The sequence below is a fragment of the Homo sapiens genome, chromosome 12, assembly GCF_000001405.40.
Source record: "Homo sapiens chromosome 12, GRCh38.p14 Primary Assembly".
Taxonomy (NCBI): domain Eukaryota; kingdom Metazoa; phylum Chordata; class Mammalia; order Primates; family Hominidae; genus Homo; species Homo sapiens.
Window position 1 is genome coordinate 2,938,972 of NC_000012.12, and position 27,451 is coordinate 2,966,422.

Sequence of the window (27,451 nt, forward strand, 5' to 3'; positions counted from 1 at the left end):
ATCCCAGCACTTTGGGAGGCCGAGGCAGGAGAATCACTTGAGCCTAGGTGTTTGAGACCAGCTTGAGCAACATAGTGAGACCCTATCTTCACAAAAAGTAAAATATTAGCCAGGCGTGGTGGCGCTTGCCTGTAGTCCCAGCTACTCAGGAGGCTGAGGTGGGAGGATCACTTGAGCCTGGGACGGGAGGTCAAGGCTGCAGTGAGCTGTGGTCATTCCACTAGGCTCCAGCCAGGGCGACAGAGCAAAACCCCATCTAAGAAAAGGAAGAAAAAGAAAAAGATTTCCCTGAGTGCAACCACATTATATTCTAACATGTTGATTTCTTTCTGTTTCTAGCTGATTATATAGTCATGCAGTTTGGACGTGTGGCAGATGACGTGTTCACACTGGATTACAACTACCCACTTTGTGCAGTACAGGCCTTTGGCATCGGTCTTTCTAGCTTTGACAGTAAGCTGGCGTGTGAATGAGAGAACAGTCAGGCAGGGAGCCCTTCTCCCCACAGAGCTTTCAGGAGCAGACAGTGGCCTCCCCTTCCCCTCCCTGCCCCAGGACTTAAAGAGCAATAGTTTGCCCCTTTTGGAATGATCTCTGAATATATAAAACACACACACAAAGAGCAATAGTTTGCCCCTTTTGGAACGACCCCTGAATATATAAAACACACACACGAAGAGCAATAGTTTGCCCCTTTTGGAACGACCCCTGAATATATAAAACACACACGAAGAGCAATAGTTTGCCCCTTTTGGAACGACCCCTGAATATATAAAACACACACACGAAGAGCAATAGTTTGCCCCTTTTGGAACGACCCCTGAATATATAAAACACACACACACCCCGCGCACTCTCACTCCTTTTCCAGGTTTCATAGACTTGGTGAGGGATCACAGCTTAGCATGGGTGAGAGATGATTTAAAGCACAGGGAGATTCTTGTCACATTGGGGTCTCCAAAGCTAGAATGGGATTTCATGTGCTTGGAAACTTGCAGTAGAATCAGGGACTGACATCGCAGTTCCTCTCCTCTCTTCATTCCCTCACAGCAGATTGGCCGGCACCAATCTTAGTCAAGAGTGGCTGTGATCACATTTGTGATCAATTATGTGAGAATTTTATATAATTGTCTTCATTTCAATTAAGGCTGAAAGCATAAACTCTAGAGGTGACTCAGTCAGGACTGACAGTAATGTGATAATTGCCTTCATTTTCAACCCAGGAGTGCCTCTCACAGCTATATGACTACGGATCCATTAGTGAGGAGCGACACACACACCTGTAGGCATCCTGTGCAAACACTTTGTCATTATCAAGAGAGATGGCAGTATTGACCATTTAGTTTAGTTAAAAAAAAAAAAAAAAAGGTGGCAGGAGAGGCTTTGGGGAGGATCAGCCAGCAGACATGAGCACTGCTGGCCCGTGTGGCAGAGCTGTGGACTTTCTTCTCGGCTCCCTCAACCCTGGCTCAGGCACAGAAGGTGTTTTGCTACGTTTTTTTGATTATTACACCCCTCCACGTATTATGTGACTCTTACACCAGTTCACCCTTCCCAGAATGTATCCAAACCTTGAGAATGCAGGAGCTCTGTGAGCTCCACCGTCAGCACCATTCAGCTGCATCCCTTGTGCACAGAACTGTTTGCCAGCGTTGGGTGGGACACCCGTGGCGGCTGCTCCCTCAGACCTCCCTTCTGTGGACTGACCTCTCACCTCCGCCTGTTGTTCCTGCACCACATCAGATAAGCATGTGAAGGAGGGCCAACTGGCAGCTGCGGGACCCTTGGCTTGTCCCCCACCGACAAGTCCCACCTGCTGGGTGAGGACGAGACTGTTTCCATCTCAGGCATGTATCCCACCAAGTGCCTCCCTCACAGCCATGCCCAGAAGCCTCACACCTCGTCACCACCACCACCCCCCACCCCATCCTGAGGCACTGCCTGGCAGATAACCCTGGTTGGCCACAGAAGCTATTAATACACGACAGCATGTGGGGAAGGACTTATGGTGGGCCAGGTGGACCTCATCCTGCTTCTTCCTCCCTCTGGTTTAAAGAGATATATAAACTAATTTCACATAATTTGTGTGTGCAGGTGATTGGTTTTTACATAAGTCCTATTTATACCTTTTATATGTTACAGAAATAAAAGTTAATTTATATAAAAATGTGTCACTGCCTTTGCAAGTCCTATGCCTCAGGAAGTTCCTACTGTCATGTTATATAATCATAATTGTCATCTTGGGCCACGTGCAGTGGCTCACGCCTATAATCCCAGCACTTTGGGAGGTTGTGGCAGGCGGATCACCTGAGGCCAGGAGTTGGAGACCAGCCTGGCCAACACGGCAAAACCCTATCTCTACTAAAAATACCAAAATTAGCTAGGTGTGGTGGTGCATGTCTGTAATCCCAGCTACTCAGGAGGCTGAGGCATGAGAATCACTTGAACCTGGGAGGCTGAGGTTGCAGTGAGCAGAGATCACACCATTGCACGCCACCCTGGGCCACAGAGTGAGACCCTCGCCTCAAAAAAAGAAAAAAAAATGTTTTGGTAACACATCAGTTCTGTAAAACCAGGTGATTACTAACAAACTTCTCATCCTGATGTAGAGCAGGAATCTGCAGACTAAGAAGGCTGTGTTCCGGAGGCTACCTAGACACACTATACACATGATAGCCAGGGGCATCTGGACAGAGGACGGGACCGAGAGCTGAGCTTAGCAAGGCCACAGAGGGTAGAGTGTACATTCTTTGCATGCCTGCCCAGGTCCGCTTCCCAGGTTTGTTCTTGTTGGCATTGTTTACTGGTTCAGCAGCAACACAAATGAACTATCTCATAGACCCCATCGCTTGCCTCTGAATGTTAACGTTTTGTTTGTTTTTTGAGACGAAGTCTTGCTTTATCACCCAGGCTGGAGTGCAGTGGGCATGACCTCGGCTCACTGCAACCTCTGCCTCCCAGGTTTCAGCAATTCTCCTGCCTCAGCCTCCTGAGAAGCTGGGACTACAGGCGTGCGCTACTACACCCAGCTAATTTTTGTATTTTAAGTGGAGAAGAGGTTTCACCATGTTGGCCACGCTGGTCTCGCCTTGGCCTCCAAAAGTGCCAGGATTACAGGCATGAGCCACTGCACCCGGCCTTTTTTTTTTTTTTTTTTTTTTTTTTTTGAGACGGAGTCTGGCTCTGTTGCCAGGCTGGAGTGGAGTGGGGTGATATTGGCTTACTGCAACCTCTGCCTCCTGGGTTCAAGCAACTCTCCTGCCTCAGCCTCCCGAGTAGGTGGGACTACAGGCGTAAGCCACTGCGCTCGGCACCCCCCCCTCCTTTTTTTTTTTTGAGACAGGGTCTCCTGTTGTCCAGGCTGCAGTGCAGTAGTGTGATCTTGGCTTACCACAGCCTCAACTTCCTGAGCTCAAGGGATCCTCCTACCTCAGCCTCCTGAGTAGCTGGAACTATAGGCATGTGCCACCAAGACTGGCTAATTTTTTGTATTAAAGTACAGACAGGGCTTCACTGTGTTTTTCAGGCTCGAACTCCTGGGCTGAAGTGAGCCTCCCACCTCGGCCTTACAAAGTGCTAGAATTACAGGCACGAAATACCATGCCCGGCCTTCACATTTTTAAGCTGCCCTATGTTCAGAAGTTGAAAAAAAATGCTGGGTGTGGTGACTTATGCCCAGCACTTTGGGAGGCCGAGATGGGAGGATCATTTGAGGTCAGGAGTTCCAGACCAGTCTGGCCAACATGGCAAAACCCTGTCTCTACTAAAAATACAAAAATTACCTGGGTGTGGTGGCGGGTGCCTGTAATCTCAGTTGCTTGGGAGGCTGAGGCAGGAGAATCACTTGGACTGGGAAGGCAGAGTTTGCAGTGAGCCAAGATTGTGCCACTGCACTCCAGCCTGAATGCGACTCTGTCTCAAAAAAAAAAAAAGTGTCCACAAAGCTTTCCTAGGCTTTCTGGCTCTTATCAGCATCACAGTGATGAACACATGGAAAGAAGCAAGAAGAGCCTAAAAATCAGGACAAGAGCTGGAGTCGATTCTTACAACTTGATTTTTCCTTTTTTATTTTTTTAGTCTTCCACATGCACAACATGTATTTTCTTTTTCATATGATTCTTTTTGGCTAAGGTGCATGGGTGGCCAGTTTTTCTGTTTTTTTTTTTTTTTTTGAGACAGGGTCTGGCTCTGTTGCCCAGGCTGGAGTGCAGTGGTGTGATCTTGGCTCACTGCAACCTCTGCCTCCTGGGCTCAAACCATCCTCCCACCTCAGTCTCCTGAGTAGCTGGGACTACAGGCATCCACCACCCCCAACTAATTTTTTAATTTTTGATAGAGACAGGGTTTCACCATGTTGCCCAGATTGGTATTGAACTCCTGGGCTCAAGCGATCCTCTCCCCTTGGCCTCCCAGAGTGTTGGGATTACAGGCATGAGCCACCGTGCCTGGCCCAAATAGATTCTTTGTGACACAGTTTTGTACACTAGTGATCAGGGACATACTGGTGGGCATTGACATGAAAGATTTCAGCAAGTGTCAATTACAAGTCTAAAAACAGGCCTGCAAAAGGCTCTTTTTGATCAGTTTAATAGATCATAGAAGAAATGAACTAGCATCAATTCATTTCCTTGAGATCAGCATTGTAAGTGCAGAAATAAAGTGATGGTTCGACTAAGGCAAAATCTTCCTGGGTTCTGACCCTATTTCTGCCAATGATTTGCCATGTGCCTCCTTTATAGATTGAGAGACTTTGAACTACGTGCCCTTTTACATTCTTTTTTTTTCTTTTTCTTTTTTTTTTTTTTTTGAGACAGAGTCTTGCTCTGTTGCCCAGGCTGGAGTGCGGTAGTGGGATCTCGGCTCACTGCAAGCTCCGCCTCCCGGGTTTACGCCACTCTCCTGCTTCAGCTTCCCGAGTAGCTGGGACTACAGGCGCCTGCCACCACGCCTGGCTAATTTTTTGTATTTTTAGTAGAGACGGGGTTTCACCGTGTTAGCCAGGATGGTTTCGATCTCCTGACCTCATGATCCGCCCGCCTCGGCCTCCCAAAGTGCTGGGATTACAGGCGTGAGCCACCACGCCCGGCTACATTCTTGAATTACATGTTTCTCCCCACTCATGCTGACAACACTCTGGCATTCCCCTGTTTTGAGCTGAACTCACTGGTTACCCCTGGACAGCTTCATGTTCATGGCTCATGTTCATTAGCTCTGTTCATGGCTAAGGACGGCTAGCCTGAGAGGTGACACAGAGTTCAGGGAAAGCACAGATTGCCTCAGCGAAGGCACCATGGAGAGGAGACCGGAATTGTGGAAGAAACAGGATCGTGCACTGAGAACTGTCCTCTTTATTCTACCAAGTACGATTTATTAGCCAAGTTGACATTTGTCGATTTGGTTATAGTAACTCTTACAAGCAATTCTTAAGACACACACACAGCTTGCTCCTGAACTCCAGCATGTTGCAAGCTGCGTTTTTCCTCGGCCTCCAGCTCCTGCCCGGGAACTGTCTGCACGTCTAACACCTGCTTCTCTTCAGTCCACAGCTCTCTCAGCCTGGCCCACGCAGGCCCCAGCCAGGGGCATGCCAAGGACTTGGCAGTTTCTGTGCCACCTCCTGAGACACGTTTCCTGACCACTGGCATAGTGGATCATTTTGCCTCCTTTCCTGCTTACGTCTCCTCGTTATCACTGTCGATGGATATGCTTTAAAAGTCTCACAGTCTTTTTTATCAACCAATAGACTCCCCTCATCCACTAAAAGCTAAGGCTGCCACAAATGAAGGGGTGCAGTGAGAACGGCAGATGGTTCCATGGCGCCACCCACTGTCCAGGAATGCATGTTGCAGGTGCGTTAAACGGGCAGACCCCGCACAGGTGAGGAAGTCACCAGGCGAAAACAGCAAGCCGACCACATGACCATGCAGTTACCAAGCACCTCGTGTTAGACCATGGCTCTCTTCTGAAAGCCTGAGAACACTAATATTTCTGGAGTTTAGAAACTAGTTAAGGTGCCAGGCGCGGTGGCTCACGCCGAGGCGGGAGGATGACGAGGTCAGGAGATCGAGACCATCCTGGCTAACACGGTGAAACCCCGTCTCTACTGAAAATACAAAAAATTAGCTGGGCACGGTGGTGGGCGCCTGTAGTCCCAGCTACTCGGGAGACTGAGGCAGGAGAATGGCGTGAACCCGGGAGGCGGAGCTTGCAGTGAGCCGAGATGGCGCCACTGCAGTCCGGCCTGGGCAACAGAGCAAGACTCTGTCTCAAAAAAAAAAAAAAAAAAAAAAAAAAAAGAAAGAAACGAGTTAAGGTATTCTAGGTAAAATGCCCAGGATCTGGCCGGCACAGAATAAACACTAAGTATAGTGGCAGATATCTATATTATCTTTTTTTACTTTGAGGCAGGGTCTCACTCTGTTACCCAGGCTGGAGTGCAGTGGCATGATCTCACTGCAGTCTTGACCTTCCCAGGCTCAAGTGATCCTTCCATTTCAGCCTCCGGAGCTGCTGGGATACAGGCATACAGGCGTGAGCCACCACGCCCAGCTAATTTTTTTTTTTTTTTGTATTCTGTAGAGATGGGGTTTCATCATGTTGCCCAGGCTGGTCTTGAACTCCTGGGCTCAAGCAATCCTCTCACCTCAGCCTCCCAAAGTGCTGGGGTTACAGGTGTGAGCCATTGTGCCTGGCCATAATTTTTATTAATGTTCTTTAAAAATAAAACAATGAGCTCGAATGGTGGCTCGCACCTGTAATCTCAGCACTTTGGAAGGCTAAGGTGGGAGGATTGCTGGAGCCCAGAAGTTCCAGACCAGCCTGGGCAACATAGGGAGACCCCATCTCTACAAAAATAAATTAGCCAAGCACTGTGGCACGAGCCTGTAGTCCCAGCTACTCGGGAGGCTGAGGTGGGAGGATGGCTTGAGCCCAGGAGGCTGCAGTGAGCCAAGATTGTACCACTGCACTCCAGCTGGGCAAAAGAGTGAAACCCTGTCTCTAAGAAAAAACTTAACAGAACAATTATCTTCTTAGCCACGCACTTATAGAGAATGGCTTATACATGTTTATAAAGCAAATTTAGATGGTTTTTCAGAGACAATAGGAGAGGACAGAAGCACAGCACGGTTTAATCAGGTTACTCCACACACCAGTGCTAGCCCAGCCCTGATCCTACCTCCCTTTCCTCACTTTGTACCCATCTCTCTTGTTTTTACTTGAAGTAACTGCCTGTACAAATATTAGCCCTGATGTTGTTGGAAATTTTTGAAGTATTTCAAATACAAAATGGGCCTCCAAGATTCTTTATAGATGGGCCTTGTCTTTTGGTCCGTCAGGCCTGAGCCCCAACACGGCTTTGGCCATGACCAAAGCGGGGTAAAGCTGGGGGCTTAGGTGGGGGCAGGCTTTTTCCTGGTCTATCACCAGCCTTTACTATACCTCTTTGGTTTAACATTGGGGCTCTCAAGCCACAGGGTTTAACATCTAGTTAAGCACTTTCTACCTAGATTCTGCCCCTTGTCATGAATCTTAAGTGTTTCAAGAATAATTATGCAAGGCCGGGCGCGGTGGCTCACGCCTGTAATCCCAGCACTTTGGGAGGCCGAGGCGGGCGGATCACGAGGTCAGGAGATCGAGATCATCCTGGCTAACACGGTGAAAGCCCGTCTCTACTAAAAAATACAAAAAATTAGCCAGGTGTGGTGGCGGGTGCCTGTAGTCCCAGCTACTCGGGAGGCTGAGGCAGGAGAATGGCCTGAACCCAGGAGGCGGAGCTTGCAGTGAGCCAAGATCGCGCCACTGCACTCCAGCCTGGGCAACAGAGCGAGACTCTGTCTCAAAAAAAAAAAAAAAAAAGAATAATTATCCAGCAGTTCTCTTTCTTCCGTAGTTTGGGAGTAGGAAGATTAGGAAGGAAGAATGGTTTGAGGAGAAAGGAGGGTGACAGGCAGAAGAGGGCTAGGAAGTAGAGCAGCATTTTTAAAGTGTGTCTAGGCCGGGTGTGGGCGCGGTGGCTCACACCTGTAATCCCAGCACTTTGGGAGGCCGAGGCGGGCAGATCACTTGAGGTCAGGAGTTTGAGAGTAGCCTGGCCAAAATGGTGAAACCCCATCTCTACTAAAAATACAAAAATTAGCCAGATATGGTGGCGCACGCCTGTAATCCCAGCTACTCAGGAGGCTGAGGCACAAGAATCACTTGAACCCGGGAGGCGGAGGTTGTAGTGAGCCAAGATTGCACCACTGCACTCCAGCCTGGGTGACAGAGTGAGACTGTCTCAACAACAGCAACAAAAAAGGTGGGTCTAAGTTCCATTTCCAAAGTACTGATGCATACTTAGGACAAACCATACCAGGCTAAAGTAGAAAGTGACCTCGAAAAAGGTTTCCTGATTTTTGCCTTTGGTCAGTCGTATGTTGTTCTATATCAGCTATTTTTTTTTTCTTTTTTCTTTTTTTGAGTCAGAGTCTCGCTCTGTCGCCCAGGCTGGAGGGCAATGGCGCAATCTCGGCTCACTACAAGCTCCGCCTCCCGGGTTCACGCCATTCTCCTGCCTCAGCCTCTTGAGTAGCTGGGACTACAGGCGCCTGCCACCACGCCCGGCTAATTTTTTTTGTATTTTTTTTAGCAGAGACGGGGTTTCACCGTGTTAGCCAGGATGGTCTCGATCTCCTGACCTCGTGATCCACCTGCCTCAGCCTCCCAAAGTGCTGGGATTACAGTCGTGAGCCACCGCGCCCGGCGTATATCAGCTATTCAGAGAGATAGAGGTACATAAATGTAACCTTTGGGCCAGGTGTGGTGGCACACACCAGTAGTATTTCCAGCTACTTGGGAGGCTGAAGTAGGAGGATTGCTTACGTGTGCTAGGATTGCACCACCGCACTCCAGTCTAGGGATAGAGCAAGACCCTGTCTCAAAAAAACAAAAAAAACAAAAAACAAACACACACACACATGATTAATGTACAAATTGCCTATCTACAGGGGACTAGTTAAAAACACTAAGGTAAGGCTGGACACAGCTGGCTTATGCCTGTAATTAATCCCAGTACTCTAGGAGACCCAGGCAGGAGTATTGCTTGAGCCCAGGACTTTGAGACCAGCCTGGGCAATATATCAAGACCCTGTTTCTACAAAAAAACAAATAAACAAACAAAAAAAAACCACACAACACTTTTTTTTTAAATCAGCCAGGTATGGTGACACATGCCTGTAGTCCCAGCTACTCAGGAGGCTGAAATGGGAGGATCACTTGAGCTGGGGAGATCGAGACTGCAGTGAGCCATGATCACACCACCGCACTCTAGTCTGGGCAACAGAGAGAGACTCTGCCTCAAAAAAAAAAAAAAAAGAGGAAAAAGCCCACTAAGGTACTTCCCACAATGGAATACTGTGGAGAATCAACAAGTATGAGGAAGACTGTATTGATTGATGTGGAAATGTCTGCAGGATCCATTCCGTGAGAAGTAAGCTAAAGAACCACGTATACAGTATGCTTCCTTTTGTGCACAAAGGGTGGGAAATTGCAAGCCCATTATTATTTTTGCATAAACACTGAAAAACTGGAAACTAAAAAGTGGGTTAACTATAGGAGCAGGACAGGGCACAGGAAGGCAAGACAGATGTGGGAGGAATCCTTTTCTTTTTTTTTTTCTTGAGACAGTCTTACTTTGTCACCCAGGGTGGAGTGCAGTGGCACAATCACGACTCACTGCAGCCTTGACCTCCTGGGTCCCAGTGATCCTCCTGCCTCAGCCTCCTGTGTAGATGGGACCAGAGGCACATGCTACCATGCCCCAGTAATTTTTGTTGTTGTTGTAGAGATGGGGTCTCACTATGTTGCCTAGGCTGGTTTCCAACTCCTGGACTCAAGTGATCCTCCCACCTCAGCTTCCCAAAGTGCTGGGATTCTAGGCATCCACCATCATGCCTGGCCAGGAGGAATCATTAAAAAAGAAGTTTTAAACCATATGAAATTACTACTATTAAATAATTTATTATTATTATTATTATTATTTTTGAGGCAGAGTCTCACTCTGTGGCCCAGGATGGAGAGCAGTGGTGTGATCTCGGCTCACTACAACCTCTGCCTCCCAGGTTCAAGCGATTCTCCTGTCTCAGTCCCCTGAGTAGCTGGGACTACAGGCATGTGCCACCACGCATGGCTAATTTTGTATTTTTAGTAGAGATGAGGTTTCACCATGTTGGCCAGGCTGGTCTTGAACTCCTGACCTCAAATAATCCACCCTCCTTGGCCTCCCAAAGTGCTGGGATTATAGGTGTGAGCTATCACACCAGGCCAATGAATTTTTGAGAATGGTTTCGTTTTGCTGACCAGACTGAGTGCAATGGTGCAATCATGTCTCACTGCAGCCTCAACCTCCTGGGTTGAAGCGATCCTTCCTCCTCAGCCTCCCAAGTAGCTGGGACAACAGGTGTGTCCCATTAGCCACCACACCAGGCTAATGTCATCTTAATCCTCTTCTTTCTCATTCTTCACACTTAGTAACTCCCATAAGTTTACACGTTTACACTTGCTTTCTCCCACAGTCCCACATTTTTTTGCAAGCTCTGCAAGTGTTATCCAGTTGTTGCTGGGCATCTCCCGCTGAGATGGTGCACAGCTGTGCTGGCCAACATGTGGCTATTTACATTCAAATTCATTCAAATTCAGTTCTTCAGTCAGGCTAGCTACATTTCAAGTCCTCAGGCTAGTGACTACCACAGTGGACAGTGCAGATGGAGAACATTTTTCTTTCTCTCTTTTTTTTTTTTTTTGAGATGGAGTCTCGCTCTGTTGCCCAAGCTGGAGTGCAGAGGTGCGATCTTGGCTCACTGTAACCTTCAGCTCCCCAGTTCAAGCGATTCTCCTGCCTCAGCCTCCCGAGTAACTGGGATTACAGCTGTGTACCACCACGCCCGGGTGATTTTTGTATTTTTAGTAGAGACAGGTTTTTGCCATGTTGGCCAGGCTGGTCTCGAACCTCTGACCTCACGTGATTCACCTGCCTCAGTCTCTCAATGTGCCGGGATTACAGGCATGAGCCACGGTGCCCAACTGTTTTGTTGTTGTTTTGAGACACAGTGTCATTCTGTTGTCCAGGCTGGAGTGCCGTGACGTGATCTCAGCTCACTTCAACCTTTGCCTCCCGGGTTTAAGGACTTCTCGTGCCTCAGCCACCCAAGTAGCTGGGATTACAGGCATGCTCCACTGTGCCCGGCCGAGAACATTTTCATCATCACAGAAAGCTGTGTTGGAAAATGTTAGTTGGTCTACAGAAATCTCAACTTCAGGTTCCCAAGCTAACTATCTTCTTAGCAATTCTGCTCCTGTGTTCCACTCGTAGCAGCCTGAGAGGCAGACATCATGACTCCTCTGTTTTCCACACATTCAATAAATGTGGAGTGAAAAAATGAGTGATGAGGAACCGAGGCTCACTTAGTAGGTGGCCAAGCTGGAATTTAAACTCTGACTGTTTAACGGCCCGACAAGGTCATCGCACACAACTTAGTGCACTCTCATTTTCAGAATATTTTATCAAACAGGATTACTGAAGATGAAGATTTTAGCTGAGCGAGATTGGAGAAAGCCTTTCCTTCCTTTTGACTTTTTTTCAGGAAGCTCCTGGATAGCTGAGGATAAGACCCCGTAGGAACTTCACCCTGCTTGAGAATTGTGCAGAGAAGGCTTCCACCTCTGTGCAATGGAAACCTGTTGTTTGTTTCAGTTTGGAAATATAAATACACTGAATTAGTCAGCCTGGACTGCCATAACAAAATCCACAGACAACAGAAATGCATTTCTTACAATTCTGGAGGCTGGAAGTGGAGGATGCTGGTGCTGGCAGGTGTGGTCTCTTCTGAGACCTTTCTCCTTTTCTCCCCCTGTGTCCTCACATGGTCATCCCTTGGTCTGAGTGTTCTGTGTCCTCATCTCTTTCATGAGGACACCAGTTACACTAGATTATGGACCACCCTAATGACCTCTTGCTAATTTAGTCACCTCTTTAAAGGCCTTATCTCCAACACAGTCACGTTCTGAGGTACTAGGGGTTTGGACCTCAACACACAAATTTGGAGGGAAACAATTTAGCCCACAGCATATACTGTTCCCTAGACAGTGGACCTAGGGTCTGTTCTCTTTCACATTTCTTTTTTTTTTTTTTTTGAGACAGGGTCTTGCTCTATTGCCAGGTGGGAGTGCAGTGATACAATCATGGCTCACTGCAGCCTCGACCTCCCAGACTCAAGCAATTTTCCCACCTCAGCCTCCCAAGTAGCTGGGACTACAGGCACATGCCACGACACCCGGATAATTTTGTTTTTATTTTTTGTAGGGATGGAGTCTCCCTATGTTGCGTGGGCTGGTCTCGAACTCCTCGCCTCAAGTGATCCTCCTGCTGCAGCTTCCCAAAATGTTGGGATTACAGTTGTGAGCCATTCCGCCTGGCCTACATTTGCCTTTCATGAAGACATAATAGAATGAATAGTATGCTTATCAAATTATTGACTACTTTTATTCTATAGACAGTTGGGGAAAACAAAAACAAAAACAAAAAAAAAACCTTTGATAAAGATCCGTTTTGCCTAGGTGAGAGGATAGCTTGAGCCCGGGAGGTCCAGGCTGCAGTGAACCATGATCCTGCCACTGCACTCCAGCCTGGGTGACAGAGCGAGACTCAGTCTCAAAACAAAACAAGGCCAGGCGCAGTGGCTCACGCCTGTAATCCCAGCACTCTGGGAGGCCGAGGTGGGCAGATCATGAGGTCAAGAGATCGAGACCATCCTGGCCAACATGGTGAAACCCGTCTCTACTAAAAATACAAAATTTAGCTGGGCGTGATGGCAAGAGCCTGTAATCCCAGAACTTTGGGAGGCCAAGGCAGGTGGATCACCTGAGGTCAGGAGTTTTGAGACCAGCCTGGCCAACATGGCAAAACCTCATCTCTACTAAAAATACAAAAATTAGCTGGGCATGGTGGCGAGAGCCTGTAATCCCAGCTACTAGAGAGGCTGAGGCAGGGGAATCGCTTGAACTCGGGAGGTGGAGGTTGCAGTGAGCCGAGATCGCGCCACTGTACTGCAGCCTGGGAGACAGAGCTCTCGCTCAAAGAAACAAAACAGGCTGGACGCGGTGGCTTACGCCTGGAATCCCAGCACTTTGGGAGGCCGAGACGGGCAGATCACAAGGTCAGGAGATCGAGACCATCCTGGCTAACATGGTGAAACCCGTCTGTACTAAAAATACAAAAAATTAGCTGGGTGTGGTGGCGGGCGCCTGTAATCCCAGCTACTTGGGAGGCTGAGGCAGGAGAATCGCTTGAACCCGGAAGGTGGAGGTTGTAGTCAGCCAAGATCGCGCCACTGCACTCCAGCCTGGGTGACAGAGCGAGACTCCGTCTCAAAAAAAAAAAAAGAAAAAAAAAGAAACAAAACAAAAAACAGGAAATGGTCTGTTTTGTCCTTCAAAGCACAAAATGAAGTTCAGCTGATGTCAAGTGAACATTCTCTTAAGGAAAAAAGTAAATAAAAGTATAGGATGGGCCGGGTGCAGTGGCTCACACCTGTAATCCTAGGACTTTGGGAGGCCAAGGTGGGCGGATCACTTGAGGCCAGGAGTTCAAGACCAGCCTGGCCAAGATGGCAAAACCCCATCTCTACTAAAAAAAAAAAAAACATAAATAAATAAATAAATATAGGATGGAGAGGTTAAAAAAGAAAAAGCACCTGAGTCACAGCTGACCAGCAGGAGTCATTGCATAATACTTTCCAAGGTATGGGGAGCAGCTTTGGGGAAATCTCCAAAGCAAGATGTGGCCCGGCACAGTGGCTCACACCAGTAATCCCAACACTTAGGAGGTCCAAGGCAGGAAGATGGCTTGAGGCCAGGAGTTTGAGACCAGCTTGAGCATATAGGGCAATCTTGTCTTTACAAAGAAAAATTTTTTTAATTAGTCAAGTGAAGTGGTGCACACCTGTAGTCTCAGCTACTTGGGAGGCTAGGGTGGGAGAATCACTTGAGCCCAGGGAGTGAAGACTGCCGTGAGCCCTGATTGCACCACTGCACTGCAGCCTGGGCAACAGAGCGAGACACTGTCTCAAAAATAAAAAAAAAAAGAAAAATATTTGCCTTTCACCTAAAAGCTAGGAAACAATCTCTCTTTACTCTGTCAGTTTCCTATTAGGCCATTCAATCCAGCTGTCAGTTGTTTGTTTGGTGGGAATGGTTTGATTTACTGGGGAAAAAAGTTTCTAGAGTTGTAAACTGGCAGTCAGCAATAGTTGAAACAAATATGTAGGATAATGAGTGGATCGATAAGAAGTCTAGAAGACTTACATGGTGGCGTTTACTCAGAACCTATTCATTGAGTTCTTCTAATCCTATATAATCTCTTTGCTACCACCACCAGCTTTATTGAGGTATAGTTAACAAATAAAAATTGTATATATTTATGGTGTACAATGTGCATTTTTTTTTTTTGAGACGAAGTCTCGCTCTGTCGCCCAGGCTGGAGGGCAGTGGCACAATCTCGGCTCACTCTGCCTCCTGGGTTCCATGGTTGGCCACGCTAGTCTCGAACTCCTGACCTCAGATGATCTGCCCACCTTGGCCTCCCAAAGTGCTAGGATTACAGACTTGAGCCACCGTGCCTGGCCACATTTTTTTTTTTTGAGACGGAGCCTTGCTCTGTCGCCAGGGCTGTAGTGCAGTGGTGTGATCTCGGCTCACTGCAACCTCCGCCTCCCAGGTTCAAGCGATTCTCCTGCCTCAGCCTTCCAAGTACCTGGGAATACAGGTGCGTGCCACCACGCCCAGCTAATTTTTGTATTTTTAGTAGAGACGGGGTTTCACCATGTTGGCCAGGATGGTCTTGATCTCTTACCTCGTCATCCGCCTGCCTCAGCCTCCCAAAGTGCTAGGATTACAGGCGTGTGCCACCACGCCCAGCCTTTTTTTTTTTTTTTTGAGATGGAGTCTCACTCTGTTGCCCAGGCCGGACTGCAGTGGTGCCATCTCGGCTCACTGCAAGCTCCGCCTCCCGGGTTCACACCATTCTCCTGTCTCAGCCTCCCGAGTAGCTGGGACCACAGGCGCCTGCCACCACGCCCGGCTAATTTTTTGTATTTTTAGTAGAGACGGGGTTTCACCGTGTTAGCCAGGATAGTCTCGATCTCCTGACCTCGTGATCCGCCCGCCTTGGCCTCCCAAAGTACTGGGATTACAGGCGTGAGCCACCGCGCCTGGCCTTTTTTTTTTTTTTTTTTTTTTAATGGAAGACTTCACGAATTTGTGAGCTCGGGGCCATGCTAATCTTCTCTGTATCAGTATCCAATTTTAGTATATGTGCTGCCCAGGCAAGCACCACAATGTGATATTTTCATATGTGTAAAGGGTTTTGTTTTTTAAAGATGTGGAGAAATTAGGGAAGGGTTAGATATATAGTTCTAGTCACATTTGTCCCTGATTATAAACTACAAGTTTGTTACAGAAAATAAAGAATAGGAGGCCGGGCGCTGTGGCTCACGCCTGTAATCCCAGCACTTTGGGAGGCCGAGGCGGGTGGATCACGAGGTCAGGAGATTGAGACCATCCTGGCTAACAAGATGAAACCCCGTCTCTACTAAAAAATACAAAAAATCAGCCCGGCGTTGTGGCGGGCGCCTGTAGTCCCAGCTACTCAGGAGGCTGAGGCAGGAGAATGGCGTGAACCCAGTAGGCAGAGCTTGCAGTGAGCCGAGATGGCGTCACTGCACTCCAGCCGGGGCAGCAGAGCGAGACTCCGTCTCAAAAAAAAAAGAAAAGAAAAGAAAGAATAGGGCTGGGTGCAGTGGTGCATGCCTGTAATCCCAGCTACTGGGGAGGCTGAGGCAGGAGAATTGCTTGAACCTGGGAGGCGCACGTTGCAGTGAGCCAAGATTGTGCCATTGCACTCCAGCCTGGGCGACGAAAGCAAAATTCTGTCTTAAAAAAAAAAAAAAAAAGAATAAAAACAAGAAACTAGATCCCCTTAATTTGCAAACTTTCAGAAATAATCCCTTTAAAATACTTTTTCAACTTTTTTCAAAAACAGGGTCATCTGATATATAGTTTTTATTTATTTATTTATTTTATTTTATTTTTTGGAGACGGAGTTTCGCTCTTGCTGCCCAGGCTAGAGTGCAATGGCGCAATCTCTGCTCACCGCAACCTCTGCCTCCAGCGTTCAAGCAATTCTCCTGTCTCAGCCTCCTGAGTAGCTGGGATTACAGGCATGCGCCACCACGCCCGGCTAATTTTCTATTTTTAGTAGAGACGGGGTTTCTCCACGTTGGTCAGGCTGGTCTCGAACTCTCAACCTCAGGTGATCCGCCCGCCTCAGCCTCCCAAAGTGCTGGGATTACAGGTGTCAGCCACCACGCCCAGCTATTTATTTATTTTTTGAAATGGAGTTTCACTCTTGCTGCCCAGGCTGGAGTGCAACGGTGCGATTTAGGCTCACTGCCACCTCCACCTCCTGTGTTCAAGTGATTCTCCTGCCTCAGCCTCCCAAGTTGCTGGGACTAAAGGCGCGTGCCATCGCGCCTGGCTAATTTTTTGTATTTTTAGTAGAGATGGGGTTTCACCATGTTGGCAAGGCTGGTCTCGAACTCCTGACCTCAGGTGATCCGCCTGTCTCAGCCTCCCAAAGTGCTGGAATTACAGGTGTGAGCCACCATGCCCAGCCCCTATATATAATTTTTAGAATCTGCTTTTCCACTTATATCATGAATGTGTCTGGTTTATTTTATATTATTTTATTTATTTTTTCTGAGACAACGTCTTGCTCTGTCGCCCAGGCTGGAATGCAGTGGCGAGGTCACGACTCACTGCAGCCTTGACCTCCCGAGCTCAAACAAGCCTCCCACTTCAGCCTCCCAAGTAGCTGGGACCAGAGGTGTGTGCTACTATGCCCAGCTAATTTTTATTTATTTATTTATTTGGTAGAGGTAAGGTCTCATTATATTGCTCAGGCTGGTCTCAAACTCCTGGGCTGAAGAGATCCTCCAACCTCGGCCTCCCAAAGTACTGGGATTACTGATGTGAGCCACTGTGCCCAATTAATTGATTTTTAACTTTGACTTTGGAATATAGCCAACACAAATACCCCTACATGAAACCACCCAGCCCTGCCCACACCCTTACTCTCCTCCTCCTGCACAGTCCATCATCAAGCTTGAGTGAGGATCCATTTGTAGGATCCAGACAGCTGAAATATTTCCACCAAAAGACTCATTCCTGAGGGTCAGTGAATTAGGGTCCTGTCCCTTAAGAAATGTAAACATCCCTGGGAAGGGCTGATGTGTGGGTAAAATCACCTTGCCTTTAACTCTTCAGAATTTGTACATCTGTTAACTTTCCTTTACCTAGACATTCCTCAACAGCTCCAAGCCTGAGGTCCCCAAAGCTCCAGAGCTCTCCAGGAGACTATAAGGGTATGGGCCAGAAAGTCAAGATCCTGAAGACACACCTTCCCAGCTTGGATCACTGATGGTCTTGGATAGTTAAGACTTAGAGGGAATAAAGATCTCCAAGTTCGTTGTCAGCAGTCTACCCTAACCGTGACACTAGGGTTGCTTTCCTGTTTCTACTCTGGACTCTGTCCTGCTTTCCTCTCCGTCCCCTGAACCTGGCTGGATTCCCCTCCGACCTCACCCCACTCCCCTTTTGCTTGAATTTCTTTCTTTCTTTTTTTTTTTTTTGAGACGGAGTTTCATTCTTTTTGCCCAGGCTGCAGTGCAATGTCGTGATCTCAGCTCACTGCAACCTCCACCTCCTGGGTTCAAGTGATTCTCCTGCCTCAGCCTCCCGAGTAGCTGGGATTACAGGCATGCACCACCACGCCCAGCTAATATTGTATTTTTAGTAGAGATGGGGTTTCTCCATGTTGGTCAGGCTGGTCTGGAACTCCTGACCTCGTGATCCACCCACCTCAGCCTCCCAAAGTGCTGGGATTACAGGTATGAGCCACTGTGCCCAGCCCTGAATTCTTATCTCACTTACTGACACCAACCATTGTTCAGCTGTTAAAGGTTAGCGATTTTTGTTTTCTCTCTCACTACACAGCCAAATGATCTGAACCGTTTCCTAGCTCCTTCCCCTCCTCCTCAACCTCAGGACCACTGCTTGAGTTTTAGGGCACCCCGAGTCTCCAGTTCAACTGCAAGACTGTTGCAAGACGGTCTTCTTGATGGTGCTGCTGATTAAGTCACACTTGTGTCTTTTTTGATGCCTAACTCTTCAGCATGGCACGCAATGACCTTCAAAGTCTGGTATCCACTTCCTTCAATCTTATTATCCACATCTCTATTCTCCAGCCACACCAGTTTACATAGCTTCGCTAAACACACCAGCAGACTGGCTGCCTCACCTTTGTAGGTGCTATTCCATGTGTCTTAAATGGGGTTTCCAGTCTCAGTTTGGCAAACCCTCATTTATCCTCAAGAGCTAGATCAAATGCACTGTAATTGGATTTCACTGTTCCTTCCCTTGGGTTCCCATTGAACTTTGCATAATTGTCTGTCTTCTCACCTAGACTGGAACTACTTGAGGAAAGGGACCTACTCCTTCCCTTAGTGCGGTGTCAAAGTCAACAAACACTCCAATGATTGCTGAATTAATATAATTATTATTAATTACTTTGAGACAGGGTTTCGCTCTGTCATCCAGGCTGGTGTGTAGTGGTGCATTCACGGCTCACTGCAGCCTCAACTTTCTGGGGTCAAACTATCCTCCCACCTCAGCCTCCTGAGTAGCTGGGACTACAGGTGCAGGCCACCATGATGCCCAGGCTGATCTCGAACTCCTGGGCTCAAGCGATCCACCTGCCTCGGCCTCCCAAATTGCTAAGATGACAGGCGTGAGCCACCGGGCCCCCCATGATTGCTGAATTAAATAGTTGGTGCTTAGTGTGTACTTCACGTGGCGCTGATATGCTGCCTTGCGTTTTGGTCTTTTCATGTGCATGAGGTGTGACCAAGCCTTGATATGATTCATTATTTAACAAGAATACCACAATTCATCTATTCAAATGAGGGCTGCGTCTTCAACGCCTTCACCTTGCAGGACTGGATGCTTAGCTCAGTCATTGCTTGAAACACTTTTGGAATACCTCTCTTGGAAACAACTTTGGCATCGATAGCACTTTCCTTTCAATATCTTCCACGGTAGCAATTGTTTTTCATTTATGCAGCATTTATCATGCACTTCCCTATCCCAGGCACCAGGCTGGATCTGTGTGAAAGATAAGATAAATCAGACATTACTCTGTCTTCAAGGAAGTTTCTGTTTGGCAAGGGAGATAAGATCTAGACAACCACCCAACACAAGGCTAAGTGATAATGCCCCAGAAAAGGTTGGATTTGATTTTTGGAAAAAGCCAAAAGTCCTTTGGTTTCAGTCTCCTGGCCAGGTAGATGATGGCGCTACCTGCCAGCACACTGCTTTAAGCCCGTTTGTCCTAAGCGTCTCCAAACAAGGAGCCCAGCGTGTTTCCAGCACCTCCTGCCCCAATAAGAGACTCCTGGGCATGTGTGTCTGAAGTCCAGACTCTCACCGATGGCAGTATACACCGAGGCCTCCCCAGCTAAACTCTGAGCTCTTTGAGGGCAGGTGCTGACGGCTGATCCTGATCTTCACAGTATCTGGACTCATCACACATCTTAGATGAATATTCATTGAGTCACTGAGCCCAGAAGGCGTCCCATGGCATGCCACATGGACTTCAAACCGAGTGCCCTTTCTCCCATGTGGTTTACTCGTAGTGGCGGTTTTACAGATGCCCAAGGGGCAGGAGAGAAAAACGGAAAGAGCTAAAGCCGGGGAGGGCAAGCGAGGGGGCACTGGCAGCGGATCTGGGAATGGAGCCCGCGAGTTCCTGCTTCCTGGTTCCCCGGAGCAAGTGTCCTTTGGTGGGAGCCGCAGGAAGGGAGCAGCCCTTCCTGCGCGCCGGGAGCCCGCCCCTTCCCCGGCCTCCCAGGGACTCGTGCGGAGGGACGCCGGGTGGCGGGGCGGGAGTCTGGGCCCCGTCCACCCCCCCGCCCCCGGGACAGCCCCACCCCGGCGAAGAGGAAGGCTCTCGGCTCCTGGGAAAGGGAGTCGGGACCCCGCCAGGAGGGGAGGGCGCGGGGCGCGCAACGAGCAGCCAAACAGTCGGAGCGGAGAGATCGAAGGGCTAGTGGGCGTGGGGGCCGCAGCCGAGGCCCGGGTGGAGGGGTCCCCGCCGTCCCTCGGCCCCCTCCCCCGCCGCCCGCCCCGGCCCGGCCCGGCCCCGCCCCGCCCCGGCGGCCCGGCCCCTCGCCCGCCCGCGCGCGGCGCAGTCTCCTCCCCGAGGTGCCGGTGGCCCCGCCGCCACTCCCTCCGGCTCCCTCCCTCCCGCCGCGGCGCGCATCTCATTCCAGCCCTCATTCCGCGCATTCCAGCGTCCTCCTCGCACACTCGAGGCCAGGGGGCGGGAGGGCCGCAGCTCCGGCGCCGCCGCGTCCCGCCAGGTGAGAGGCGCCCGCGCCCGCCGCACCCGCCGGCGCCCTCACGGGCCGCGCGCCCCACGCCGCCGCAGCCGACCGCTCGCGCCGCGTGCTCGGCTGCTCTTTTCTTTCCGCCGCCCGCGTTCCCGCCTTGGACCTCTGCGCTCCGACGCGCTCCGTCCCGACCTCTGGCTTCCCTCCGCGCTCCGGCGCTGCTCGCTGCCCCTCTCCCGCTTCCCTCCTGTCCGCCCCGCGCTCCCCTCCTCGCTCCCGGTTGACTCACTCCTCCAGGAATAGGGATCCCCGTGTTTTCCCGTCAGTCCCATTCTGGGAAAACTCCTCCCTCCGCGCGCTCCGCTCCGCTCCGCTGGGCGCACCGGGGCCGGTCGGCGCGGGGTGGGCTTGGCCCCGCGGCCCCGCCTTCACTGCGCCGCCCGTCGGCCCCGGCCGGAGCCCGGCTCTGCGCGCTGACGCCCTGTCGTCCCCGCAGAACGATCGCCGCGGCCGGAAGAGTTGGCGCTCGGGGCGGACTCCTTGGAACTGGCTTAGCGCACCCATCCCACCTTCCCGCACCCTGGGACCGGTAAGGCTGGGGCGCGGGGACTTGGTAGGACTTTGCCGGAGGGCAGGAGTCTGCGCGGTGCGTGCGGAGCTCCCTCCCGGGACGAGACTGGGAAGAGCGAGGCACGTGGAGGCGGCGCGACTGAGGCTGCTGGAGGCGAAGCGGCTCCAGGGGCGGGTAAGGGGGGTGGACACTCGGGACTTTGGGGGAAAGGGAGGCCGGTGTGGAAAGGACCGGAGAGGCAGAACCGAGAGCATCGGCAACAGAAGAGACCCAGCACCCATGCCTCTTTTCTGCTGGGCCCTTTTCGAGCCTGGAAGGGAGAGACCTGGAGGTAAGCGGACTGCCTGTTTTAAGTGCAAAGGCGATGCGAAAGTCGGGGGACCCCTGCAAAAGGTCCTACACCTCAGGGCTTGGGAAGCTGCTGTGTTTCCTGATGGGGACTAGTGGATCGATCCAGGGAGCAGAACTTTCAAACCCCAAAGTGAACATTTCCCCCGTTGTGCTGAGGCACTTGAGGCCCCGCGGACTGACTGCGTCTGTGCTGAGTCTGTGTGACACCTGACTGCGAGTCCCCCTCGCTTTGAGTCTCTGTGTGGGTGATGTCTGTTCACGTGTGGCTCACCTTGGCTTCCAGTGGGCGTATTTGTTTGTGTTGAACGTGAGTGACAGAGTGTGTGTATATGTCTGCGTGAGAAGGGGCTGTCTGAAAGTGAGTATCTCTGAGTAGGTGTGTGATGCCACGTCTCTTGAGTATGTGTTTCTCTTCGAGGATGTTGGTTCTGGCTAGGACTGTTCTTCCTCCCTACATAGCCGTGGGCAAGAGTCAGTGTCTCTGGTTGCCTGAGTGCAGGGATAATTTGACTGTGGTTTTGGAGTGTGTGGCCTCCAGGCTCCGTTTCCCCTGGACCGGGCAGAGCTGGAAGGAAGCTGGCTCCACCTGCCTCTTGGAGCCAGGAGGCTGACTTTCTCAGGGCGAGGGTCTTGTGCTTGCCTGGAATAGGTCAAAAAGCTGGTAGGAGGCTGAAGGAAGTTGAGATCTTTGCCTTTGGGGGATGGGATGGGCGGGTGAGATTTGGGAAGGTTTGTCGGGGTGGATCCCCGGGAAAAGGAGACAGTTTTGAATCTGGAGACTTGTGTAAATAGTGCTTTTAAGTTGCCCTCAAGGACAAACAGGGAGGTATACCAGCCTGAACTACTTTTCCTGGTTTAACTCTCCTCGGAGCTGACCAGGTAACCCAGTAGAAGAATCCCTCATTCTTTCCAACTTGCCAGACACTCAGCACTTCCTTTGAGAAGAGGAATGAGTAGCTTGTTGCATGAGGGCTTCAACGTGGATATCATGTGTAGGGCTTCTTGGAAGGAAGGAGCCAGAAACTGTCTCGGGGGTTGGGGGTTCTCGTCCTTGCTCCTCCATCCATCCTGAGGATGTGGATGTTCTTGTGGGAAACACCTCACCCTCTCACCTCTTCGGCCTGGTGTGCGACTGGTCTAAAAGCAGCACTGATGGAGTGGAAAGGGCACAGGTTTGGGGTCAGGCAGACCAGGGTACAAATCCTGAGTCTCTCACTACCTTTAAGGCTCTCAGGCTGTTTCCTGGTGGGTAATACGAGCGGAGCTTTTCTGTCCAGAAAGTTTCTTGTGAAAAGTCGATGTCTGCAGAGCCCCCACCCAGCAGCACAGTGCCTGGCACATCCCATGGACTCCATAGGATAGCTGTTGTATCCAGTGTTTCCTTCGCTTATTTCAGTAAGAACCCCTTTTTCCTAGGGATTAGTGTTTTTTGAATTAGTGTTTCTCTGAGCACCATTTGAGAAACCTTGCCCTGTCTATCATGTTTATTTAGCAAACATGAATCGAGCATTTACTGTGAGCCAGGCCCTACGCTGTGTTCCGCGTCCTTAGGAATCCAGGGTCCTAGTGGCCCAGGTCAGGAGGGAGGGGGACAGACAGGGCTTTGTCACCAGAGAACAGAGTGCCAGCTTCTATTTTCTGATTCCAGTTTTGCCTTGGCCCCAGGGTGAGCTTGCTGAACATTATTAGATACCCTAATGTCAGCATCTAAGTCCCCCATTTTATTTTATTTTACTTTATTTTTATTTTATTTTATTTTATTTATTTTTGAGACGGAGTCTCGCTCTGTCGCCTAGGCAGTAGTACAGTGGCATGATCTTGGCTCACTGCAACCTCCGCCTCCTGGGTTCAAGCGATTCTCCTGCCTCAGCCTCCCGGCCGGCTAGTTTCATATATATATATTTATATATATTTATTTATATATATAAATATAAATATATAAATATATATATAAATATAAATATATATATATATTTTTTGAGATGGAGTTTCGCTCTTGTTGCCTAGGCTGGAGTGCGATGGTGCGATCTCGGCTCACCACAACCTCTGCCTCCCGGGTTCAAGCGATTCTCCTGCCTCAGCCTCCCAAGTAGCTAGAATTATAGGCGTGCGCCACCGTGCCCCACTAATTTTGTATTTTTAGTGGAGACGGAGTTTCTCCATGTTGGTCAGGCTGGTCTCCAACTCCCAACCTCAGGTGATCTGCCCACCTTGGCCTCCTAAAGTGCTGAGATTATAGGCATGAGCCACCACTCCCAGCCGTTTTTTGTATTTTTAGTAGAGGCGGGATTTCGCCATGTTTGCCATGCTGGTCTTGAACTCCTGACCTCAGGTGATCCGCCTCGGCCTCCCAAAGTGCTGGGATTACAGGCGTGAGCCACTGCGCCTGGCCTAAGTCTCCCATTTTAAAGATGGGGAAACTGATGCTCCTAGAGGGACAGTAACTTGCTTAATGCCGCAACCCTGGTGAGTGGCAGAGCAGGGATTAGAACCTATGCTCTCCCCTTGGCGTTCTGTCTCCTGCCCTGTGGATTGCAGTGCTTGTACACCCCCTACTCCCCCTAGCCGCCTTCATCCAACAGGCGCGGAAGCTGGAGCAGACTGACTTGGGCCATGCCTTGTCGCTCAGATAAGGTTGGTAGGAGGCAGAAATACTCTGCTCCGACCTGGCAGAAAGCACATAGCTGTTCTGGGGAAGGAGCCATCTCACTGTAGAATCTGTGGAGTCGGGAAGGGGCCCTCGGGTCTTTAAAACACACCCTCCTCTCCCCTTGATGAGCCGGCAGGTGAAGGTTCTCCCTATCTTTTTAGATCTCCTGGGTTGCAAATGTCACAACCTCCTTTGATTTCCACTCTGGAGTCTTGCCCCGGTGACTGTCACAAAGCAATGCCTGTTGCCAAACCTGTGGCTCCTCCTTCTCCTTCCCAGTGGAAGTGGAGGACGTTGGTCCCCAGCTTTGGACCTTGCCTTTCCTGCAGTTGAGGTCAGTCCAGTGGCAGTTGGAAATTCAGGGCTTGTGAGGGTGGCTTTACCTTGCCTGTCTTCCTTTGCCCCCATGACCCTTTGTTGGCCGGGGTTGGACGACAGCTCCCTTTAAAGCTCTGAAATTGGAGCTGAACAGCTGCTGTCCAGTAAAGGGGGGTGAGGGGGCTGTCAGCAGCCAGGAGGGCCCAGGTGGAGGTGGGGGCAGGGCTTTGTCACTGGGGAGAACACGGTCTCCAGCTCCTATCTTCTAATTCCACTTTTGCCTGGACGCTTTCTGAGATGACGGTTCTTCCCTTGCTTTTGGTTTTTCCCGCTACTATCTGGGAGATTCTAATCACACCTGTGTGATCTGGCCCTGGGGCCCTTAGCTGGTGGGGACTGGATATTTGGGAAAATTTCCACTAGAACTCAGGTCTCCAAGATCTATGCCCACGTCCTCCTGCATTTAATACAGGGGGGCTCCTGGAAGGGCCAGAGGATGGGCCAGGCTCCCTGTAGCGGGGGCTGGCTCCTTGGCTTGGTGTGGGCAGGCGGGCCCCCATGGGTGGGGACTCTGCTTCCTTTGACCCAAACTTCATGGGAACAATAGACTTCAGAGGAGTCACCAGGGGCAGGAAATGGGAACTGTGCAGAGCCAGGGGTGACCCTCCTGGGGGATGGGATTGCATATCCGGTAGAGGGTTGGGGGCAGTGCAGAGGGCGCTGGGGAGGGGCTGATGACACATAGGGTGGGCCTCTGGGGTGGGGCCCTCCTCCAAAGGGGGCCGTTGACTCAGTGTGAAGCTAGAGCTCCGTGCCGGTTCTGTGCTGAGCTTTCGGCTCTTACTAGCACAGGGCTCGTGTTTGCCAGCCTCCGCTCGTGCCACGCTCGCCCCTGCCAGGACTTGGTCTTCCCCTTCCCCTCAAGCCCCTGAGATGTCTTTGCGAATCATCCTGGCTGGGATAAAAGGCTGGTGTTGTTGCTCCCTGGCTGGTCTCCACCTTGGCTGTGAGCCTTGGGCAGTTGTGGCTGGAACGGCGATCTTGGGTTGTGGGCAAAGCTCTGGACAGGGAGTCCCCAGGCTGGGGTCGCTGGACAACGTGAGGGATTTCTTTCTTTCTTTTTTTTTTTTTTTGAGACGGAGTTTTGCTTTTGTTGCCCAGGCTGGAGTGCAGTGCTGCAATCTTGGCACACCACAACGTCTGCCTCCTGGATTCAAGCGATTCTCCTGCCTCAGCCTCCTGAGTAGCTGGGATTACAGGTGCCTGCCACCACACCTGGCTAATTTTTTTTTTTTTTTTTTTGTATTTTTAACAGAGACAGGGTATTTCCATGTTGGCCAGGCTGGTCTCGAACTCCCAACCTCAGGTGATCCACCCGCCTCGGCCTCCCAGAGTGCTGGGATTACAGGCGTGAACCACCGTGCGCCTGGCCATGGGGGATTTCTTTAGCCGCAGGCAGAGCGAGACAGTGGGTGGAACGTTCTGGAGGCGGAGGACTCTTGTCTTGCCTCCATCTTTGTAAGGGTCGACCAGACTTTGTGAGGAGGCCACAGCTTACCCTGAGAGAATTGTGAGTCAGGCCACACAAGCTGCTTTGCCTGAGTTCAGGTTGCCGGATTCTCACAGATAGGCTTTGGGGTCCCAAGAGAAGGTGTAGGAGTGACCCCAGAACCACTGCCAGGACCTGGAAGGAGGGTAGGAGTAGGAGAGACAACACATGCTGTCTTGATTTGTTTCTTCAAGGAAGCAAGATGGGGACCCTGGAAATGGCAGACTCCTAGAATTGATTCCTTGCCCAATTCTTGGTTAGATTTTGTTTTTTAATGATTTTTTATTTTTTGAGACAGAGACTCACTTTGTCACCCGGGCTGGAGTTCAGTGGTGCAATCATGGCTCACTCCTTGAACTCCTGGGCTCAAGCAATCCTCATTGCCTTAACCTGAGTAGCTGGGACTACAGGTATACGCCACCACACCTGGCTAATTTGTAAAGTTTTTTTGTGGAGGTAGGGTCTCGCTTTGTTGTCCAGGCAGAACTCAAACTCCTGGGCTCAAGCAATCCTCCTACCTTGGCCTCCCAAAGTGCTAGAACTGCAGATGTGAGCCATCATACCCTGCCAATTTAAAATTTTCTAGTAGCCACCTTAAAAAAAAAAAGTGAAGTTAATGTTGGTGTTTTCTTAAACCCTAGTGTTATCAAAAATAATTTCAGTGTAATAATTTTTTTTTGAGACGGAGTCTCGCTCTTTCGCCCAGGCTGGAGGGCAGTGGGGTGATCTTGGCTCACTGCAAGCTCCGCCTCCCGGGTTCACTCCATTCTCCTGCCTCAGCCTCCCCAGTAGCTGGGACTACAGGCACCCGCCACCTAATTTTTTTGTATTTTTTAGTAGAGACGGGGTTTCACCATGTTAGCCAGGATGGTCTTGATCTCTCTACCTTGTGATCCACCCATCTCGGCCTCCCAAAGTGCTGGGATTACAGGCGTGAGCCACCGCGCCCGGCCATAAATTTTTTTAAATTATCATTATTATTATTATCGTAGACAGTGTCTTGCTCTGTCACCCAGGATGGAGTGCAGTGATGCGGTCATGGCTTATGCAGCCTTGACCTCCCAGGATCAAGCAATCCTCCCACCTCAGCCTCCTCAGTAGCTGGGACTGCAGGTGTACACGGTTGCACTCAGCCTAGGTTAGATTTTTGAACAAAAATATGTGGAGAGTGTGAAAATGAAGTGAGATACCTAGTAGCCAACCTGGGTTCACTCTACCAAGTCTTGGAGAAAACAACTCTAACTTGGGTGGAGGAATGTTCAGTAAGCCTTTTCAGTCTAATGATCTTCTTGGTACAAGAGAAAGCAGTGTGGTCTGGCTGATACAGCAGGGAGATGGATGTGTGACTGCTTGACCCACTACGCTGGATGCTGACTCCTAACTCCTGAGCTTGTGTTACTGTGAAGAGGTCCCCGTGATGTGCCGCAGGGCTGTCTTTGGCTTAGTCCTCTATGTTTTCCATAGATACGAGCCTCTCCCAGGAGCCTGTGTGGCCTGTGTCTTCTGTTTCTCATTTCTTTTTCTTTCTTTTT

General features: G+C 50.2%; 2 protein-coding genes, 1 long non-coding RNA gene and 1 pseudogene across 6 annotated transcripts in view, besides 2 other annotated features; 2 read left to right on the plus strand and 2 right to left on the minus strand.

The window, feature by feature from the left end:
- The window catches only part of TULP3 (TUB like protein 3), a 50,248-nt gene extending 48,081 nt beyond the window's left edge, over nucleotides 1-2,167 (plus strand). The window contains exons 11-12 of one of the 2 annotated variants that reach the window (NM_001160408.2): nucleotides 340-453; nucleotides 1,559-2,167. In NM_001160408.2, coding sequence (NP_001153880.1) covers nucleotides 340-453; nucleotides 1,559-1,755 — 311 coding nt within the window. In that variant the 3' untranslated portion in view covers nucleotides 1,756-2,167. Of the gene's footprint in view, nucleotides 1-339 lie in introns of both variants that reach the window. The other variant, NM_003324.5, reaches the window with a different exon arrangement.
- On the minus strand, nucleotides 15,269-15,367 carry RNU6-1315P (RNA, U6 small nuclear 1315, pseudogene; annotated as a pseudogene).
- On the minus strand, nucleotides 18,627-21,077 carry LOC124902859 (uncharacterized). The gene is made up of 2 exons (XR_007063159.1): nucleotides 20,770-21,077; nucleotides 18,627-19,254 (listed from the first exon to the last, which is right to left on the minus strand). It is a non-coding gene; the product is annotated as an uncharacterized LOC124902859 (long non-coding RNA).
- The window catches only part of TEAD4 (TEA domain transcription factor 4), an 81,280-nt gene continuing 74,254 nt past the window's right edge, over nucleotides 20,426-27,451 (plus strand). For 2 of the 3 annotated variants that reach the window (NM_003213.4, NM_201441.3), the window contains exons 1-2: nucleotides 20,426-20,510; nucleotides 20,977-21,069. The gene's annotated coding sequence lies outside the window, so the exon portion shown is untranslated. Of the gene's footprint in view, nucleotides 20,511-20,963; nucleotides 21,070-27,451 lie in introns of those variants that run through there. The other variant, NM_201443.3, reaches the window with a different exon arrangement.
- Nucleotides 20,596-21,331: an enhancer, noted in NCBI's record as "H3K27ac hESC enhancer chr12:3068733-3069468 (GRCh37/hg19 assembly coordinates)". NCBI's record gives its function as "activates a minimal SCP1, AML or CMV promoter by ChIP-STARR-seq in naive H9 embryonic stem cells {active_cell/tissue: H9 hESC(naive)}" and the evidence as "EXISTENCE:reporter gene assay evidence [ECO:0000049][PMID:30033119]".
- Nucleotides 24,962-25,787: an enhancer, noted in NCBI's record as "H3K27ac-H3K4me1 hESC enhancer chr12:3073099-3073924 (GRCh37/hg19 assembly coordinates)". NCBI's record gives its function as "activates a minimal SCP1, AML or CMV promoter by ChIP-STARR-seq in primed H9 embryonic stem cells {active_cell/tissue: H9 hESC(primed)}" and the evidence as "EXISTENCE:reporter gene assay evidence [ECO:0000049][PMID:30033119]".